Source organism: Homo sapiens, chromosome 2, assembly GCF_000001405.40.
Source record: "Homo sapiens chromosome 2, GRCh38.p14 Primary Assembly".
In the NCBI taxonomy this organism is placed as follows: Eukaryota; Metazoa; Chordata; class Mammalia; order Primates; family Hominidae; genus Homo; species Homo sapiens.
In genome coordinates, this window is record NC_000002.12 from 241054638 (window position 1) to 241072033 (window position 17396).

Genomic DNA, 17396 nt, shown 5'->3' on the forward strand with positions numbered 1-17396 from the left:
GCCATCCAAAACAGGATCGATAAATTATTTTAAAAACAGTGGGAATAAGCAGATTAAAAACTATAATAGTTGAAATAACAGACATAATTTATAAATGGATGCAGATGAAGAGTAAGTTAGTGAGTTGAAAGATCAGCTTGAAGAACTCTTCCAGAAAGAAGCAGGGAAAGATAAATAAATAAAAAAGAAAATGTTGGGGCCAGGTGCTGTGGCTCACGCCTGTAATCCCAGCACTTTGGGAGGCCGAGGCAGGTGGATCACCTGAGGTCAGGAGTTCGAGACCAGCCTGGCCAACATAGTGAAACTCCGTCCCTACTTAAAATACAAAAACTAGCCGGGTGTGGTGGCACATGCCTGTAATCCCAGCTACTCAGGAGGCTGAGGCAGGAGAATCGCTTGAGCCTGGGAGGCGGAGGTTGCAGTGAGGTGAGATCGTGCCACTGAACTCCTACTTGGGTGATAGAGTAAGACTCTGTCTCAAAAAAAAAAAAGAAAAAATATTTGTGCTGTAGAGGGTAGAAGGTGTGCTAAAGCTGAGATAATCGGAGCCCAAGAAGAAGAGAAAATGAAAATGTAAAGGATAAGTGGCTAGGGAGTTAAATTCCCAGAGTTCCAGATGAACAGCAGATTAAAAGGGCCCACAGAACGTCAGACAGGAGCAAAGGGGAAACAAACACCAGACACATTATAGTAAAATACGAGAATATCCTAGACAAACAGAAAAAGTTTTAACTTCCAGAGGGAAAATCAGGTCATGTACAAAGGAACAAGAATCAGCTTGACATCAAACTTCTCAACAGCAATATCAGATATAAGACAGTGAATTTTTTTAAATACTGAAGAGATCCATTTGGTTAGGGTGTAGACAGTCACAGAATACCACCACTGTCACTGTAATGTTAAAGGAACATCATGAAGCCTATGAAATCCTATCTTTTCACCTATTAAAGAGTTGAGGAGGCAGAGAAGTTGAGGCTGTTGGCTGCTTTCATCCTCCAGCCAAATTTGTCATGCTGCAGGGGCAAGCACAATGGATTGAAATCAAGAGAAGCCACAGATGCAGAGAGTAAGTTCTCAGCACCTACCAGGTCTCACCCACAGGATCATTACAAATGCATGAGAAGCCAGGGACTGGTCTGTAAAGCAGAGATAGATTTCATAGTCTCACAAGGATTAGATTCCAAGTCCACCTGGAGGGAGAGGCCTGTCCAAATCCTTAAGCGTTTAAAACCAATCTTGAGCTGAAACTACTTAAAACTGCTCTAGCCCCAACCCAGCTCAACTCCTAATGATATCACAGGTCAGCTACTCAGCTTCGCTACCTAGTAGAGAATACAGTATGTTCATCCTAGTGTGAAATTTTCTACTTTGATTTCCACTGTTCTTATACGCACTATGTCTAAGAAGCAAGAAATGATGACACATAATCTAAAGAAGAAACAATCGATAGAAAAAGACCTTATGGATCACCCAAGTGTTGGAATTTAGACAAAGACTTTAAAATTCCATGAAAAATTTTCTTTATGTTAAAGAAAAACGAGAGGCAGAATGATTGAGAGAATAGAAAATTTGAGCAGAGAAAAAAAGTAACAAAATAGAAAATCTAGAACTGAAAATATATCCGAAATGAATAAATTGTTTTATTTGTTATTTATTTTTGTAGAAACAGGATCTCATGGTGTTGCCCAGGTTGGTCTTGAACTCCTGAGCTCAAGAGATCCTCCTGCCTCTGCCTCCCAAGCTGCTGGGATTACAGGCATGAACCACTGTGCCCAGCTGAAATGAATAAATTGGATAGGCTTAACAAAATGGATACAACAAAATGGATACAACAGAAGAAAAAAAACCATAGAACTCAAAGACAGGACAACAAAATTATCTAAACTGCAGATCAGAGAGAAAAAATAATTTAAAAATGAATTAGGAATTCTGAATAAGTGAAATTTTTTTTTTTTTTTTTTGAGACGGAGTCTCGCTCTGTCTTCCAGGCTGGAGTGCAGTGGCACGATCTCGGCTCACTGCAATCTCCGCCTCCTGGGTTCACGCCATTCTCCTGCCTCAGCCTCCCGAGTAGCTGGGACTACAGGCGCCCATCACCACGCCCGGCTAATTTTTTTTTATATTTAGTAGAGACAGGGTTTCACCGTGTTAGCCAGGATGGTCTCGATCTCCTGACCTCGTGATCCACCCGCCTCAGCCTCCCACAGTGCTGGGATTACAGGCATGAGCCACTGCGCCGGGCCAAATAAGTGAATGTTTTAAAAAACAGCATCAGAGATCTGTGGGACAATATCAAACAGGCAAACAAGCACATAATTGAAGTCCCAGAAATAGAGGACAGAATGGGCAAAAGAATATTTGAAGAGATAATAATTGGACATTTTCTAAAAATGAAGAAATACATCAACCCACAAATTCAAAAAGCTCAGCAAATCCCAAACAGTATAAATATTGAAATAGGTTGGGTGCAGTGGCTCACACCTGTAATTCCAGCACTTTGGGAGGCCAAGGTGGGAGGATCACCTGAGGTCAGGAGTTTGAGACCAGCCTGGCCAACATGGTGAAACCCCATCTCTACTAAAAATACAAAAATTAGCTGGGCATGGTGGTGGGCACCTGTAATCTCAGCTACTCAGGAGGCTGAAGCAGTAGAATTGCTTGAACCTCGGAGGCGGAGGTTGCAATGAGCCGAGATTGCGCCATTGCACTCCAGCCTGGGCGACGAGCAAAACTCCATCTCAAAATATATATATATATATATATATATATATATATGCCATACGCAGTGGCTCACACATATAATGGGAGGTCAAGGCAAGACGATCATTTGAGCCCAGCAGTTCAAGACCAGTCTGGGCCACATAGCAAGACCCCAACTCTACAAAAAACTTTAAAAATTAGCCAGGCATGGTGGCATGCTCCTGTAGTCCCAACTACTCAAGAGGCTGAGGTGAGAGGATCACTTGAGCCCAGGAATTCGAGGCTATAGTGAGCTATGATCATGCCACTGCCCTCCAGCCTGGGTGACAGCAAGACCCTGTCTCTAAAAAATTAAAAATTAAGAAATAAACTTAATACCTAAATATCTTTATTCAGTCAAATTGTTATTCAAATGTGAGACCATAAAAAAATATATTCTCATACAAACACAGCTTCAGAGGCTTAGCAAAAAAAAGTGTCCTTTTCTGAAAGAAGTAAGATAATAATAAGATAATAAGATAAACCCAGTTAAGAGAAGGGAGAGTTATCAGATTTCATGGTAAGACTTGTCACTATCCAAAAGGAGAAAAAAGTAATCAGAAGAACATGGCAAATATTAAGATTGGAAAGAATTATGATAGAAAAAATACAAATATGAATGGACTAACTCTCCAGGTGAGAGATTGCCAGATGTGGTATAAAACAAGCTAGCACTCTTAGACATTCCTAAAACATAAGACTATACAAAGAATGAAAGTGAAAGGAAAAAAATAGGTGTATACAAATCAAAGCTGGCGTATTAGCTATATTACTATCAGAAAAAGAAGAGTATAAGACGAAAAGCATCATTAAGAATGAGAGGGTGTCTCTCAATGATAATTGGTTCCGTTCACGAAGAAGATACAATTATTATAAATATTCAAGCATCTAATACAATAATCTCAATATATATAAAGCAAAAATTAAGAAACTGACATTAATACCAATGTTAGAAAAGAAGAAAATTTCAAACTTGATTAATTAAATGTCTGACTTCAGAAGTTAGGAAAAAAAATACGAAATGATGCTGAAAAAAGTAGAAGGAAAGAGGAATAAAGGTAAAAGCCATAATTAATGAAGTAGAGATCCAAGATACAAAAGAAAGGACAAGCCAAAATTAGTTCTTTGAAAAGCCTAATGTAACATGTTTAGTGGATATAGATTACAACAAAATTAATTATGTGCTTATGTATCAGCAACCAACAATTAGAAAATGTAATTATAAAAAAGACAGATACAGAGAAAGATCAATGAAACCAAAAGCTATTTCCTTGAAAAGATCATTAAAATTGGGCCGGGCGCGGTGGCTCATGCCTGTAATCGCAGCACTTTAGGAGGCCGAGGCAGGCACATCACAAGGTCAGGAGATGGATACCATCCTGGCTAACACGGTGAAACCCCGTCTCTACTAAAAATACAAAAAATTAGCTGGGCGAGGTGGCGGGCGCCTGTAGTCCCAGCTACTCAGGAGGCTGAGGCAGGAGAATGGTGTGAACCTGGGAGGCGGAGCTTGCAGTGAGCCAAGATCGCACCACTGCACTCCAGCCTGGGTGACACAGCAAGACTCTGTTTCAAAAAAAAAAAAATCATTAACATTGATAAACCCTAGCTAGACTGATCAGGAAAAAAAGAGAGAAATTAGCAAGATCAAAATAGAAAAGGAGATCCTACCTCGTGTTTACAGTGGAGTCCTTTAAACATTAAAGATCCTGCCAGTACTTAAAGGACAAGAGAACACCTATGAGCAATTTTAGGCCAATGTATCTGACAACTTAGGGGAAATGGATACCCTGAAAGACAAATTACCAGAACTGACACAAGAATAATAGAAAACATATACAGCCTTATATCTGTTACACTTAATTTGTAATTAAAAACCTTCCTCAGAACAGCTGTGTCAGATTGCTTCACGGATGAATTCTACCAAATGTTTAAGAAAGGAATGATACCAACTTTGTACAACCTCTTTTAGAAAGAGCTACATATTTTTTAGAAAATCTAGGAGGGAAGAACACTTCTCATTTGATACCAAACTCAATTGATACCCAACTTATTTGATAACTTCTCAACTCACCTTGATACCAAAACCAGACACAGACACTACAAAATTTGAAGTTACAGACTGGTATCTCTCAAGAACATAGACACAACAATCCAAACAAAATATTACTAAGTCAAGCTCAGTACTATATAAAAGAATGATACAGTCATGACCAAGTGGGATTTTTCTCAAGGACACAGGTTGGTCTAACTTTTAATGTCAATCAATGTACTTCATCATATTAGGAGATGAAAGAGAAAACTATATATCTCAATAGATGCAGGAAATTATTTGACAAATTCAACTGGTATTTAAAATTCTTAGTCAACTAAGAGTAGAAGATAATTTCCTCAACCTGATAAAGGACATCCATTAAAAACCTCAGCTACCAGTGTACTCAGTGGTGAAAGACTCCACCTGGAATCCGTACAAGGCAAGGTGTCCATTCAGTACGTATTCCCAGCATTTTCCTGGAGGCCCTAGACAGTGCCAGATGACAAGAAAAGGAAATAAAAGGAAGGAAAGGAAGAAAGAATTAGAGATCACATGATTGTATGCATAGAAAATCCTAAGGAAATTCTACAAAAGAAGCTATAGAACTAACAAGTGAATTCAACTAGATCCCAGGATACAGGGTCAGTATATAGAACCTGTTGTAGCAGTGAACACTTTGAAATGAAAGTGTTACATTAATAGCATCAAAAACATGATAAATTTTTAAATGCGTAAAAGGAACTATAAACATAAATGTAAAAGCTAAAACTATAAACTTTTTTTTTTTTTTTGAGACAGAATCTCACTCTTGCCCAGGCTGGAGTGCAGTGGCACAATCTCGGCTCACTGCAACCTCCGCCTCCCTGGTTCAAGCGATTCTCCTGCCTCAGTCTCCCAAGTAGCTGGGATTACAGGCACTCACCACCATACCCAGCTAATTTTTGTATTCCTAATAGAGACGGGGTTTCACCATGTTGGCCAGGCTGGTCTTGAACTCCTGACCTCTGGTGATCCACCCGCCTTGGGCTCCCAAAGTGCTGGATTACAGGCGCGAGCCACCATGCCCGTCCCTAACTATAAACTTCTAAAAGAAAGAAATACAAAAGCATATGAGAAAATATTCATGAGAGCTGGAATACAATGGTTTTGTACTTGGAAAAATATTATATTGGTTCTCTATTTTTCATACACTGGAATTAAATCCAGGTGGATTAAAGACCTAAATGTTTCTTTAAAAAAAAACTATACAGGGCCGGGCACATGGCTCATGCCTATAATCCCAGCACTTTGGGAGGCCAAGACAGGAGTTTTGTTTGAGCCCAGCCTGTGCAGCATAGAGAGACCCCCAACTCTACAAAAATAAACTAAAATTAACCAGGCGTAGTGGCATGCACCTGTAGTCCCAGCTACTCAGGAGGCTAGGGTGGGAAGATCACTTGAAACCGGAGTTCAAAGCTGCAGTGAACTGTGATTGCACCGCTGCATTCCAGCTTGGGGGACAGGGTGAGACCCTGTCTCAAAAAAAAACAACCAAAAAAAACTATATAATTTTGTGTGGAAAATATAGGTAAATATATTTTTGACTTTGGGGTAGTGAAAGACTCCTTAAGCCACAAAAAGAATTTAAAAAGAAATGATGAACATACTTGACCATATGAAAATTAGAACCTAAATCCATAAACCTTAAGAAAGTGAAATCTAAACTACAAACTGGGAGAAGAGATAAATAGTCTCAAGACTACATGAAGAACTCTGATAAATCAATGAGAAAACAACCTAATAGGAAAATAGAAAAAAAAACATGCATAGGCATTTCATGGAAGAAGAGATACAAAAGGCCAACAAACATAAAAAGAAATATTCTATTTCATTAGTAATCAGGGAAATGCAAATCAAAAGTGCAATGAGGTACATTCAGCTGGTAAATTTTCAGAAGTCTGAAAAGCCTATACCGGTGAGAATGTGGATCAACAAGATTTCTTATGCATTGCTGGCAAGAGTATAAATTGCTAGAAGCACTTTGAAAACAATGTGGCACTCTGCCTGTTGAGCAATCTGCCCACTGTTGCTCATTTACGTCAACTGTGTTCCAGCAATTGCACTTCTGGGTATAAACCTAAGAAAAACTTCACGTCTGCACCAGGAGATGGGAAAGAATATACACAGCAACATTTTTTGTAAAAGCAAAAAGTCTAGGCTGGGCGTAGACTCATGCCTGTAATCCCAGCACTTTGGGAGGCTGAGGCAGGCGGATCACGAAGTCAGGAGTTCGAGACCAGCCTGGCCAACATAGTGAAACCCCATCTCTACTAAAAATACAAAAATTAGTCGGGCATGGTGGTGGGCGCCTTTAGTCCCAGCTACTCGGGAGGCGGAGGTTGTGGTGAGCCAAGATCATGCCACTGCACTCCAGCCTGGGCAACGAGCGAAACTCCATCCCCCCAAAAAAAAAAAAAGAAAAAAAGAAAACAAAAAAAGGAAAAAGTCTAGAACCAACCCAAAGACCCAGCCAGTGAGAATGGGTGAAGTATGATATAACCACACTGTGTAATGTTATTCAGCAGTGAAAATCTATGAACCACAGTGACCTACAGTGTGGAGTTCTCTTCTTCATATAATGCTGAGAGAAGACAATATATATCATGATGTACTATGAATAAAGTTCATAAACAACAAAAACATTCACTATTGTTTAGGCAATTTATAAAATTTTTAAGCTAATTTTAATTACATATTTTACTGCCAGAAAACCTAGTTTTTAAAGACAAGGAAATTATAAACCCAGAGATTCTTATCGCAAGGGAAGAGAAGGGTACACGGTCGGATGAGCCCATTCAGCATTCTGGCTGCCGGGGTGGCTGCTAGTCCCAGATGTCACTAAGTCATTACCATTTATTTACTTTTTAAGCATGAAATTAAACTTTAAAAAAATAAATATTTAAATTCAGGAGCACAACTCCCGCTTGAAAAGAAAGCTGTGGTGAATCATTTAAAACCAAGATTTGTCCCAGATGGACTGGTTTCACAGGTGACTATTATACATTGAAATGGCAAGATGGGACATGAGACATTTTCTGTCAAACCCCTGAGGCCTTTGTCCTGTCGGCCTGAACCACTGGAATTAAGTCCCACAGCGTCTTCTGGGAGCCCTGGGGTGGTTTCAAGCCCGCCCTGCTGCTTCACAGACACAGCCAGGCACTGAGCCCCAGGCCCACTGCCCTGCCCCGACTCCAAGGATATCCAGCCCTGGTCTCTGGCCTTTCCAACCACTGATGATGTATCATCGAATTCTGTCTGGCCCCTCAGGACTAGTTTATGTGCATCTTAATTTGGCTTAATCGTGGCCACATTGCTTTATTCTTGGGCTCTCTCCTCTCAGAAATCGATGAGTGCCGGTCTCAGCCGTGCCTGCATGGGGGCTCTTGTCAGGACCGCGTTGCTGGGTACCTGTGCCTCTGCAGCACAGGCTATGAGGGCGCCCACTGTGAGCTGGGTAAGAGGGGCCCTGGCCCCGCTGGGGTGACAGCTGCAGCACACTGGCCATGTGCCTGAGGCACTGGGTCCCCCGGACAGGTCTCTGTCTGGATGGCCAGGGTGGCCACTGCATGCTTTCTCGGGCCCCTGCCAGCTCTGACATCCAAGACAAAGATTTTACAAATATCCCTTCCTGCACCTCCCCAGGGGAGACTGAGAGCCCAGCTGAGAAATGCTGGCCTGGCTTCAGGGCGCAGAGAAGGTGGGCGTCGGAGAGGGCAGGTCACAGTCTCTGACACCTGGTCGGTGCTTCCAGCCAGTGGAGGGAGGGGAGGCCTGCCCCATGAGCCCTGCACACTCTTGTACCTCGCTAGGGCTCTAAGCCTGAGAAACGCAGGCTCCAGGGAGGGCAAGGCCCAGGGAGCCGTGCCCAGTCGTGGCCCTGGGGAGCCTCCCATTGCGGAGTGGCCTGGAGGAAGGCATGGCCTGGAGGTGGGGCTTTGCCAGCAGGCAGTGGAGGTGGCACGCCTCCCGAGGAGGGGTGGGTTTGGGGCTGATGGAAGAAAAAGCACATGTCCTGAGTAGTTGCTCCCAGCTGGGAAAGGGGTAACTGAAGCCCCAGGAAATGCACGGAATCCTGGGGGCATGTGGGCGCCTCAGACTTGAGCCAGCAACACCCTTGACACCCCTTCTCTGTGCAGAGAGGGATGAGTGCCGAGCTCACCCGTGCAGAAATGGAGGGTCCTGCAGGAACCTCCCAGGGGCCTATGTCTGCCGGTGCCCTGCAGGCTTCGTTGGAGTCCACTGTGAGACAGGTAGGGGCTCCCTCCAGTGGGCCCCACATGCAGAGCCTGGGCCTCTGGAAGATCAGAGAGGAGGTGGGGCATCCCCACATTCCCTGCTGGGCAGGCCACCTGGGGAGAGGGACCCCCAGGGCTGCGGCCACCTTGGGAGGGAGGGGTGGAGGTGAGGGTGCTGGGGAGGGCTGAGGGGCGGGACCTGCCCACTGCCCCTCTCTCCTGGCCTCCGCCCCTAGACTCCTCCTTTCCCTTCTTCCCGCTGTCCTCTCCTCCCTCCCCCAGACTCCCCCCTTGCAGCTTGGGCCCACTCTCTGGGTGTTCTCCAGAGGTGGACGCCTGCGACTCCAGCCCCTGCCAGCATGGAGGCCGGTGTGAGAGCGGCGGCGGGGCCTACCTGTGCGTCTGCCCAGAGAGCTTCTTCGGCTACCACTGCGAGACAGGTAGGGCGGCAGGCCTGCCTGCTCCCCGCCCTCTGCCCGCCTGCTCCCCGCCCTCTGCCCGCCTGCTGCCCGCCCTCTGCCCGCCTGCTCCCCGCCCTCTGCCCGCCTGCTCCCCGCCCTCTGCCCGCCGCCTTGGAAGTCCCCTTCTCAGGCCAGTGGCCCTCCGCCTGTCTCCCTTGGTCCCACAATGGTGCCTTCTAAACCTCCCCATCTCCTGCGCTCACCCCCCAGACACCCCTCTTCACCCGAGGACACACCCAGGGGTGGGGCCTCACGTCCACACATAGGCCCTGCTGCCCTTGGACAGGCCAAGTTTCTTGCACACCCAGGTCTGGCCCCTGGCTGTCCTTCCATCTGGAACATTCTCCCTAATCAGCCCCCAGTGGGATACCTCCTGATGAGGCTTCCCTGACCACTGACCTCCCCTCCTCAAGCAGGACTGTCACTGGGGTGGTGGCCTGTCCTGTCCTGATCCAGTGTCTCCTCCCCTCAGCCAGTCCGGCTGGTGGCACTCCGCTGTGGAGGGTGGAGGAGCTGCTGGGTTGGGCCCCGCAGGGCAGTGGAGGTGGCAGAACCGAAGGGAGGCAGTAGCTGTCCTGTGCCCCCCGCCCCTCCACACCCACGCAGGAGGGACCCAGTGCCCCAGGAGCAAGGGCGGGGCTGGAGCAGGGACCCCTGGCCACGCCCCAACATACACTGCCACTTTTTCTCCCCTCAGTGAGTGACCCCTGCTTCTCCAGCCCCTGTGGGGGCCGTGGCTATTGCCTGGCCAGCAACGGCTCCCACAGCTGCACCTGCAAAGTGGGCTACACGGGCGAGGACTGCGCCAAAGGTGGGTGGCGAGGGCGCCTCCAGTGAGGGAGCCACGAGGGGGTCCCCTCTCCCTAGAGGGCCCAACGGTCTCCAAGGGCAGAGCGTCTGGCCGCTGCTTGCCCAGGCCCCTTCCCTGAGGAACAGGGAGGGGATAAAATCCCCCGGTGGGCTTGAAACACGGTCACACATTCAAAAGTGTGACCCTCCTGGAGGTACGTGGCCAGGGACAAAGAAGGACTCTGCCAGCGATGGCTGTGTCAGGCCCAAGAGCCAGACCCGGCTGAGCCGCCGACGGGAGCCAGGCATGCATAGCTAACGGCTGACCAGTCCCCTCCCCTTGTTTTGACCCAAACCCTGAAGAGCTCTTCCCACCGACGGCCCTCAAGATGGAGAGAGTGGAGGAGAGTGGGGTCTCTATCTCCTGGAACCCGCCCAATGGTCCAGCCGCCAGGCAGATGCTTGATGGCTACGCGGTCACCTACGTCTCCTCCGACGGCTCCTACCGCCGCACAGACTTTGTGGACAGGACCCGCTCCTCGCACCAGCTCCAGGCCCTGGCGGCCGGCAGGGCCTACAACATCTCCGTCTTCTCAGTGAAGCGAAACAGTAACAACAAGAATGACATCAGCAGGCCTGCCGTGCTGCTGGCCCGCACGCGTGAGTGTCCCCGAGCCTGGCCGTCCCTGCCCAGCCCCTGCCCCTCGAGGGCAGCGCTGGCCCCGGCACCTGCAGGGCGGCTGTCATGCCGTCCACCCTCCTAGTTCTTGCAGCAGCAAGACAGACAGCTGAGCTGGGGGTTGGAGGCACCGCCCTGCTGGAGACAGAGCTGTGTGGGAGTGGCCTTGGGTCCACAAGATACAGGCATGGGATTGGGGCGCATAGAATCGAGCCAAGAGTGGGAGCAGCACAACCCCCAGGCATGGAGCTAGGAAGTGGGACTGGGGAGGAATGGGGGCTTCCCAAAAGGGTCCCTAGAAGGAGCCAGTGTGGGAGACAGGGGCCGCGGGGGTGGGCTTGGGGGGGCTGGGACTCTGGGGTGCTCTGAAGGCCTGGGGAGAGTTTGAAAGAGGCACCTGCTCACAGGGATATGTAGGCGCTGAGGTGTGCTAAGGGGAGGCATCGGTGGCTCAATCGGGAAGAGCCGTGGGGCAGGCCCTAGATGGAATGACAGACCCAGAGCCTCCACCTGGAGCTGGCACTGAAAGCTGTGACCAGATGTGACCCCTGAAGAGGGGGTCCTAGGAGGAGCCTCCTCAGAGCCTGAGCCACCAAGATTGCAGGGGAGGCCCGGGTTGTGCACAGCCTGTGGGGTTGTTGCCGTGTCGGGGAGCAGAAGATGCTGAGCGCTCTAGGGAAGGCGTCAGGGCTTAGCGGGCTTGTGTGCTGCTGGGAGGGATTCTGGGAAGGAGAAAGGAGCCCTAGAACATGGCAGTGGACGGACAGGGGCAGGGCCGGAAGAAAGCAGAGGGCTGGCCTTCCACGGAGCCCGGCCGCATCAGCTAGAGCACAGGGGATCTCGGAACAGGCTGGGCAGGAACCAAGTGGGGTGCAGGGCCATGGGGCCATGGGACTCTCACCCAACATGCCTGTGGCCTCCAGACACAGGAGCAAGAATGGGGAAGGGGTGCTAGAGGCTCGAGGAAAGAGGAAAAGGTGCTGAGAGCACAGACTGCTGCGAAGTGGCGTGATGGATGGATGGGTGGGTGGGTGGCCAGGGCTTCAGGGAGGCCTAAGCATCCAGCAGGGCCCTGCGGGGCGGCCACGTGAGTTTGGTGAAACCTATGGGTAGCATGGCGGGTAGGTGGGGAGGAGCTCGGCGGTTCTCACAGGAGGAAAGCCTCCTGGCCACACCTGGGCCCTAGCTTGATGCCAATGCCAAGGGCATTGAGGGACAGGAGAAGGCATTCAAGGCAGCTTGAGCCCACCCAGAGGCCCACAAGGGCCTGTCCTGCAGGAGTTGACCACCAAGGGGCTGGAGTTCCCAACACAGCAAGGACACAGAGCACACCTCGGCCAGTGGAGAGCCTGGGCGCATGTGCGGGTGGCACTGAGCAGGTGTCAGCAGGAGCTGCCAGGGGCTGAGTAGGGGTGGCTCGCCTGGGCTGTTTTAGGAAGAAGCACCTGCAAGGCCGCCCCATGTGAGATCTGCCCTCGGAAGGTATCTGGAGTGAAGACAGAGCCCGCCCTGCCCGCTGCAGAGTTGGGGCTCCAGCCAGCCATGGTGGGTGGAAGGGACCGCTGTCCACAGACCGGGGTGCTGAGTTGCCGGGAGCTGAGCGCTGCCCTCTGGGCTCTGCCTGGTGCATCAGCAGTGGCACTGGAGCTTCGGAGGAGACTGGCTGGGCGGGAAGCGGAGCTCACAAGTGGCCCCTTCCCTGCAGTTGCTGGGAGTTCTGTATGTCTGTCCTCCTAAGACAGCGTTGCCCAGACCAGGCCCGGATGTGTGCTCTTAGACCAAAATAGTCAACTGGCACAGAAAAGGGGAGGTCCGGGTTACTCATGTCCAGAGGGACTCCGGCCCATCCCCTGCCATGTCACTGCCACATCTAAATGGAGACTAAGACCCCTGCCTCTGGTAAGACGGGCTGGCCCACAGCGGGCTCTGCAGCCGTCATGCTCACAGCGGGTTCTGCAGCTGTCAGCCCTGGAGGCCAGAGCCTGGGCATCCCACTCAGCCCGAGTTCCCTGAGCAGTTGATGGGACACCCTCTCCAGTGCCTCTCTGTGGCCCCCAGCACCCTCCCAAGCCTGGTTTCATCTTGAGCCCCTGCACTCCCCCAGGAGCAAGGAGGGGCCGGCACCTGCTGAACAGTCCATTCCCCCTAGGACCCCGCCCTGTGGAAGGCTTCGAGGTCACCAATGTGACGGCTAGCACCATCTCAGTGCAGTGGGCCCTGCACAGGATCCGCCATGCCACCGTCAGTGGGGTCCGTGTGTCCATCCGCCACCCTGAGGCCCTCAGGGACCAGGCCACCGATGTGGACAGGAGTGTGGACAGGTTCACCTTTAGGTAAGAAGGGACACCCAGAGCATGGGGCTGGGGTGAAGGCAGGGGTGGGGGCTCGGGGACACGGGGCCCAGGTCTCGGGCACATTCTCCGTGTGTGGACTGTACCACCTGCCGCTCCTCACCTGAGCGGAGACAAAGGTCTCAGGTGAGCCAGCCTCAGACCCTGGAGGCTTCACTCCCGCCTCACCTCATCAGGGCTGCCAAGAGAGGATACACCTTGGTAGTGTTTTAAAGTGTCCAAAAAGAGCAGGAAAAGCTCAGAAAATCCGGGGGCACACTTTCCACACAGATCATGAGAGTGACTTGGCCCCTCAGAGAGCAGCGGCCAGCGAGGGTAGATGGTAGCAGCCCCGAGCTCTCCCAGGAGTCCCACAGTGGACCCCTCAGAGAGCAGCGGCCAGCGAGGGTAGATGGTAGCAGCCCCGAGCTCTCCCAGGAGTCCCACAGTGGACCCCTGTGATTTGGTCGCCAACCAAAGAGAAAGCTTCCGAATCGTGCTCAGCGCAGGCAGGGGTGCAGGAAAAGATCGGAGAGCGAGTGGGAAGGAAGACTCCAGCCAGCAGCTTCCTGGGGCTGGGGTGGCATTGGCCTCACGTTGTCCTGTGGTTTCCTGAGAATTTACATCAACTCACCTGTGCTGAGGGCCCGTCCCCCATCCCTGCACAGTGACCACTTCCCCCTTCTCTGGCCTCTCCCAGCTGAACACCGGCCCTCTGACCATACTGTAGCAGCCCCAAGCGCACCCGATCCTCCTCCGCTGCCCGGACTATGGGTTGGCTTCCCGCCCTAGGAGCACACGGCTCTGAGGGCCATGAGTCTGCCCCTCGTGGAGGTTGCCTGGGCCACCAGCAGCAGGATGACCTCCCCGCAGTCACCTCCTGCCTGGGGGAGCTGCGGTCTGGCAGCAGAGTCACACACAGGTCCCAGACATCCCTGTTCTCTCTTTGTCACCTCCTGCCCACAGGGCCCTGCTGCCTGGGAAGAGGTACACCATCCAGCTGACCACCCTCAGTGGGCTCAGGGGAGAGGAGCACCCCACAGAGAGCCTGGCCACCGCGCCGACGCACGTGTGGACCCGTGAGTAGAGCAGCGCGGCCCCCGGCACACGAAAGGCCGTCTTCTAGAAGCTCTGGCTTCCTTCCAGCCTCCCCTAGTCCTCTCCAAAGCGTCCACAACACCAGAAACCCAGCCCCTGGCCTCCCAGATGTCTCTTCCGCTGGGGCCACTGGGCAGGAGCCGCTGGGCTGGGCTGGGCCCTTGTGCTGGGACAGCTGTCCAGGGCAGTCTCCATCTCTAAAGGCTCCTGGTAGCTCCTCAGCATGGAGTTCCTACTGGACACCGACCAGAGGGCCAGAGGACCTCACTGGGCCAGGGATACCCATGCTATCCAGGGCCCTTGTACCTTGCAACCAGCCCCCTCTAGCTAAGCTCCCTAAGTTCCTGGTGTCACTAGGCCCACACCCCCTCCCCAGTGCATGGGAGGGGTGACAGCATGGACAGTCAGCGCGCAGGGGAGGGACAGGTGAACTGGGCAGAGGGGAGGCTGCAGCTCCCTCTGTGAGGAACAGAGGCTTAAGCAGACCCCTGCCCACCTGTGCACTCAGATGCTGCCCGCCTGGCATGGGAAAGGCTGGTGGGGCAGGGGAGTCTGCACAGGGCTCCACGCAGCCAGGCTCAGGGGAACCGACTGTGCCGCAGGGAGGGCGCCAGCTGACGGGCCAGGGCCTGGGGGCTTCACAGGGTGGATCCTAACCCGAGGGGAGGGTGGCAACCAGGGGCCTGCAGGTCTCTCGGTTGGAAGATTGTGCTGTACGTGCCAGCCCACACCCCGCCTCGGCACTGTACCATTCTCCATAATAAAGAATCTGGCTTCCAGCAAGGCTGCGGCAGCCCATGTCCGGTTCTCAAACCGTGTTCTTGCCAGAAGACCCTGTGGGCACCCCCTCACCTCTCCCTGCTCCTGCCTCATCCAGGGCCCCTGCCTCCAGCAAACCTGACCGCCGCCCGAGTCACTGCCACCTCTGCCCACGTGGTCTGGGATGCCCCGACTCCAGGCAGCTTGCTGGAGGCTTATGTCATCAATGTGACCACCAGCCAGAGCACCAAGAGCCGCTATGTCCCCAACGGGAAGCTGGCGTCCTACACGGTGCGCGACCTGCTGCCGGGACGGCGGTACCAGCTCTCTGTGATAGCAGTGCAGAGCACGGAGCTCGGGCCGCAGCACAGCGAGCCCGCCCACCTCTACATCATCACCTGTGAGTGCCGTGGGCCCTGCGCGTGGGCGGGGCCAGTGTTTGCCAGCCCTCCACCCTGTTCAGGACTGACCTGGCCCTGCAGGGGCCTGGGATGCCAGGCAGACAGCCTAGAAACAGGACCGTGTTAGCAGGGGAGGAGTCTGTGTATGAAAGTGGAGGCTTTTCAAACCCACAAGGAAAGGAAGGACTCATGGGCAGGTGGCACCAACAACTGGAATAATAAGCACATTGAGCCTCAGTTTGTGCCGGACCCTCCCGTAGATCCCAGACAGGCCGAGCATCACCTGAAAACGGGTGCCGAGGGTGGCAGCGAGGAGGAAGCCCCCGGAAGTGGCCTGCATTGCAGCCCAGGCCTGACCCACGAAGAGCCACTGGACACAGACAGACAAAGGGCCAGGAGGCCACAGGCAGGGGCCTGCAAGGCAGGCAGGAATGCTGGGGAGCAGAGGCACAGGGCAGAAGCCGCTCGGAGTGGGGACAGATGCTCCGAAGGGCTCAGGTCTGCTCCCAAGTGCAGGGGTGGCCCTTCCAGGCTCCACCAGGGTCCCGAACGCCCCACTTAGGTCTTCCAAGTTCACAGAAGGAGCAGTGGGAAAATGCAGGAGCAGAACAGGGAGAGAAGAAAGAGACGGAGACAAGCAGGGAGGAGAGGCCACGGCGGGACAGAGCAGAGCAGTGCGCGGCTCCCCAGGGAAGAGAGGGCTCTGACCCCAGGCTCCTCCCCAACCCGTGAGGCTGTGCTGGGGACACGAAGTGCATAAGCTTGCCGAGTTCTCAGACCCAACCCTGCCACCCCCACCAGCTTGGGGCCAAGCCCACCAGCCAGGCAGAAGGGGCAGGCTGGGACCTCTGTGAGCCGGCGTCAGAGTGAGAGGGAGAGGGAAGGGGAAGGAGGGCCCAGCCTGGGAGGCTGAAGGACGCTGTTAGGGTGACAGATGCACCCTCACTCTCAGGGCACATGCTGGGGTGGGGACTCCCAGCTGAAGCGTCCCATCAGGAGGCCACTGGGGAGAAGCACTGTGTCTCCAGGGCAGCCTGGGACCTGAGTCCGAGCCCGAGTGCCCAGCCCCTTGAGAACTTGAGTGACGGGCAGGGGCCTAGACTCAGCCCTGCCTCATGACTCCCAGGCCAGTGCACGCCTGTGTCATGGCTGCGCATGGCTCCTCCTCAGAAGGGATGCGGCGGGTGGGCTGGAAGGGAACCCAGGGCATCTGGGGAAGCCACAAGCACCTTGGATGACCACGGCCCACGCACATGCCCCCCTTCCCTTCTCCAAGCACGGCTGAGTGTGAGGGGCACCACCCATGCCACAGGGGCAGGGACAGGAGCAGAGGGCAGCCCCAGACCAGCCCCTTCCTCCTGCCTGCTCTGCAGCCCCCAGGGATGGCGCTGACAGACGCTGGCACCAGGGAGGACACCACCCTCGGGTGCTCAAGAACAGACCGCCCCCGGCGCGCCTGCCGGAGCTGCGCCTGCTCAATGACCACAGCGCCCCCGAGACCCCCACCCAGCCCCCCAGGTACATGCCCCACCCATCGGCCCCATCGCCCGAGGCGGCGCTCGGACTGTGGTGACCCTCCCACCCTCTCTGCAGGTTCTCGGAGCTTGTGGACGGCAGAGGAAGAGTGAGCGCCAGGTTCGGTGGCTCACCCAGCAAAGCAGCCACCGTGAGATCACGTGAGTGCCAGGGCCTCCCCACCCACCTTGGTGGCCCACCCTCGTCCTCACTGCCACTCTCACCAGGTCCTGTCCCCTACATGATGAGCCCACCCCCACCGCCAGCGCAGTCTCCAGCCAGTGACCCCCACCCCGACTGTGCACAAGGCGCGGGG

The 17396-nt window shown here is 52.8% G+C and overlaps 2 protein-coding genes and 1 long non-coding RNA gene across 26 annotated transcripts in view, besides 1 other annotated feature; 1 reads left to right on the forward strand and 2 right to left on the reverse strand.

The window, feature by feature from the left end:
• Nucleotides 1-9481, reverse strand: part of SNED1-AS1 (SNED1 antisense RNA 1) — a 50629-nt gene extending 41148 nt beyond the window's left edge. For both annotated transcript variants that reach the window (NR_187212.1, NR_187211.1), the window contains exon 1: nt 9443-9481. This is a non-coding gene — a long non-coding RNA (SNED1 antisense RNA 1). The remainder of the gene's footprint in view (nt 1-9442) is intronic.
• The window catches only part of SNED1 (sushi, nidogen and EGF like domains 1), a 97919-nt gene that overhangs the window by 56988 nt on the left and 23535 nt on the right, over nt 1-17396 (forward strand). For 15 of the 23 annotated variants that reach the window (XR_002959254.2, XR_002959256.2, XR_002959258.2 and 12 more), the window contains 10 exons: nt 8154-8267; nt 8950-9063; nt 9375-9488; nt 10207-10320; nt 10662-10958; nt 13127-13310; nt 14274-14386; nt 15283-15564; nt 16939-17083; nt 17159-17241. Coding sequence is in view for 14 of the 23 variants with exons in the window: in XM_011510931.3 (XP_011509233.1) it covers nt 8154-8267; nt 8950-9063; nt 9375-9488; nt 10207-10320; nt 10662-10958; nt 13127-13310; nt 14274-14386; nt 15283-15564; nt 16939-17083; nt 17159-17241 (1560 nt within the window). In the remaining 9 variants the exon portion in view is untranslated. Of the gene's footprint in view, nt 1-8153; nt 8268-8949; nt 9064-9330; nt 9489-10206; nt 10321-10661; nt 10959-13126; nt 13311-14273; nt 14387-15282; nt 15565-16938; nt 17084-17158; nt 17242-17396 lie in introns of those variants that run through there. The other 8 variants (XR_002959257.2, XM_047443885.1, XM_047443888.1 and 5 more) reach the window with 3 other exon arrangements.
• Nucleotides 1-17396, reverse strand: part of MTERF4 (mitochondrial transcription termination factor 4) — a 59702-nt gene that overhangs the window by 12052 nt on the left and 30254 nt on the right. The window lies entirely within an intron of this gene.
• Nucleotides 9430-9589: a silencer, noted in NCBI's record as "silent region_12526". NCBI's record gives its function as "represses an Ori minimal core promoter by ATAC-STARR-seq in GM12878 lymphoblastoid cells {active_cell/tissue: GM12878}" and the evidence as "EXISTENCE:reporter gene assay evidence [ECO:0000049][PMID:35858748]".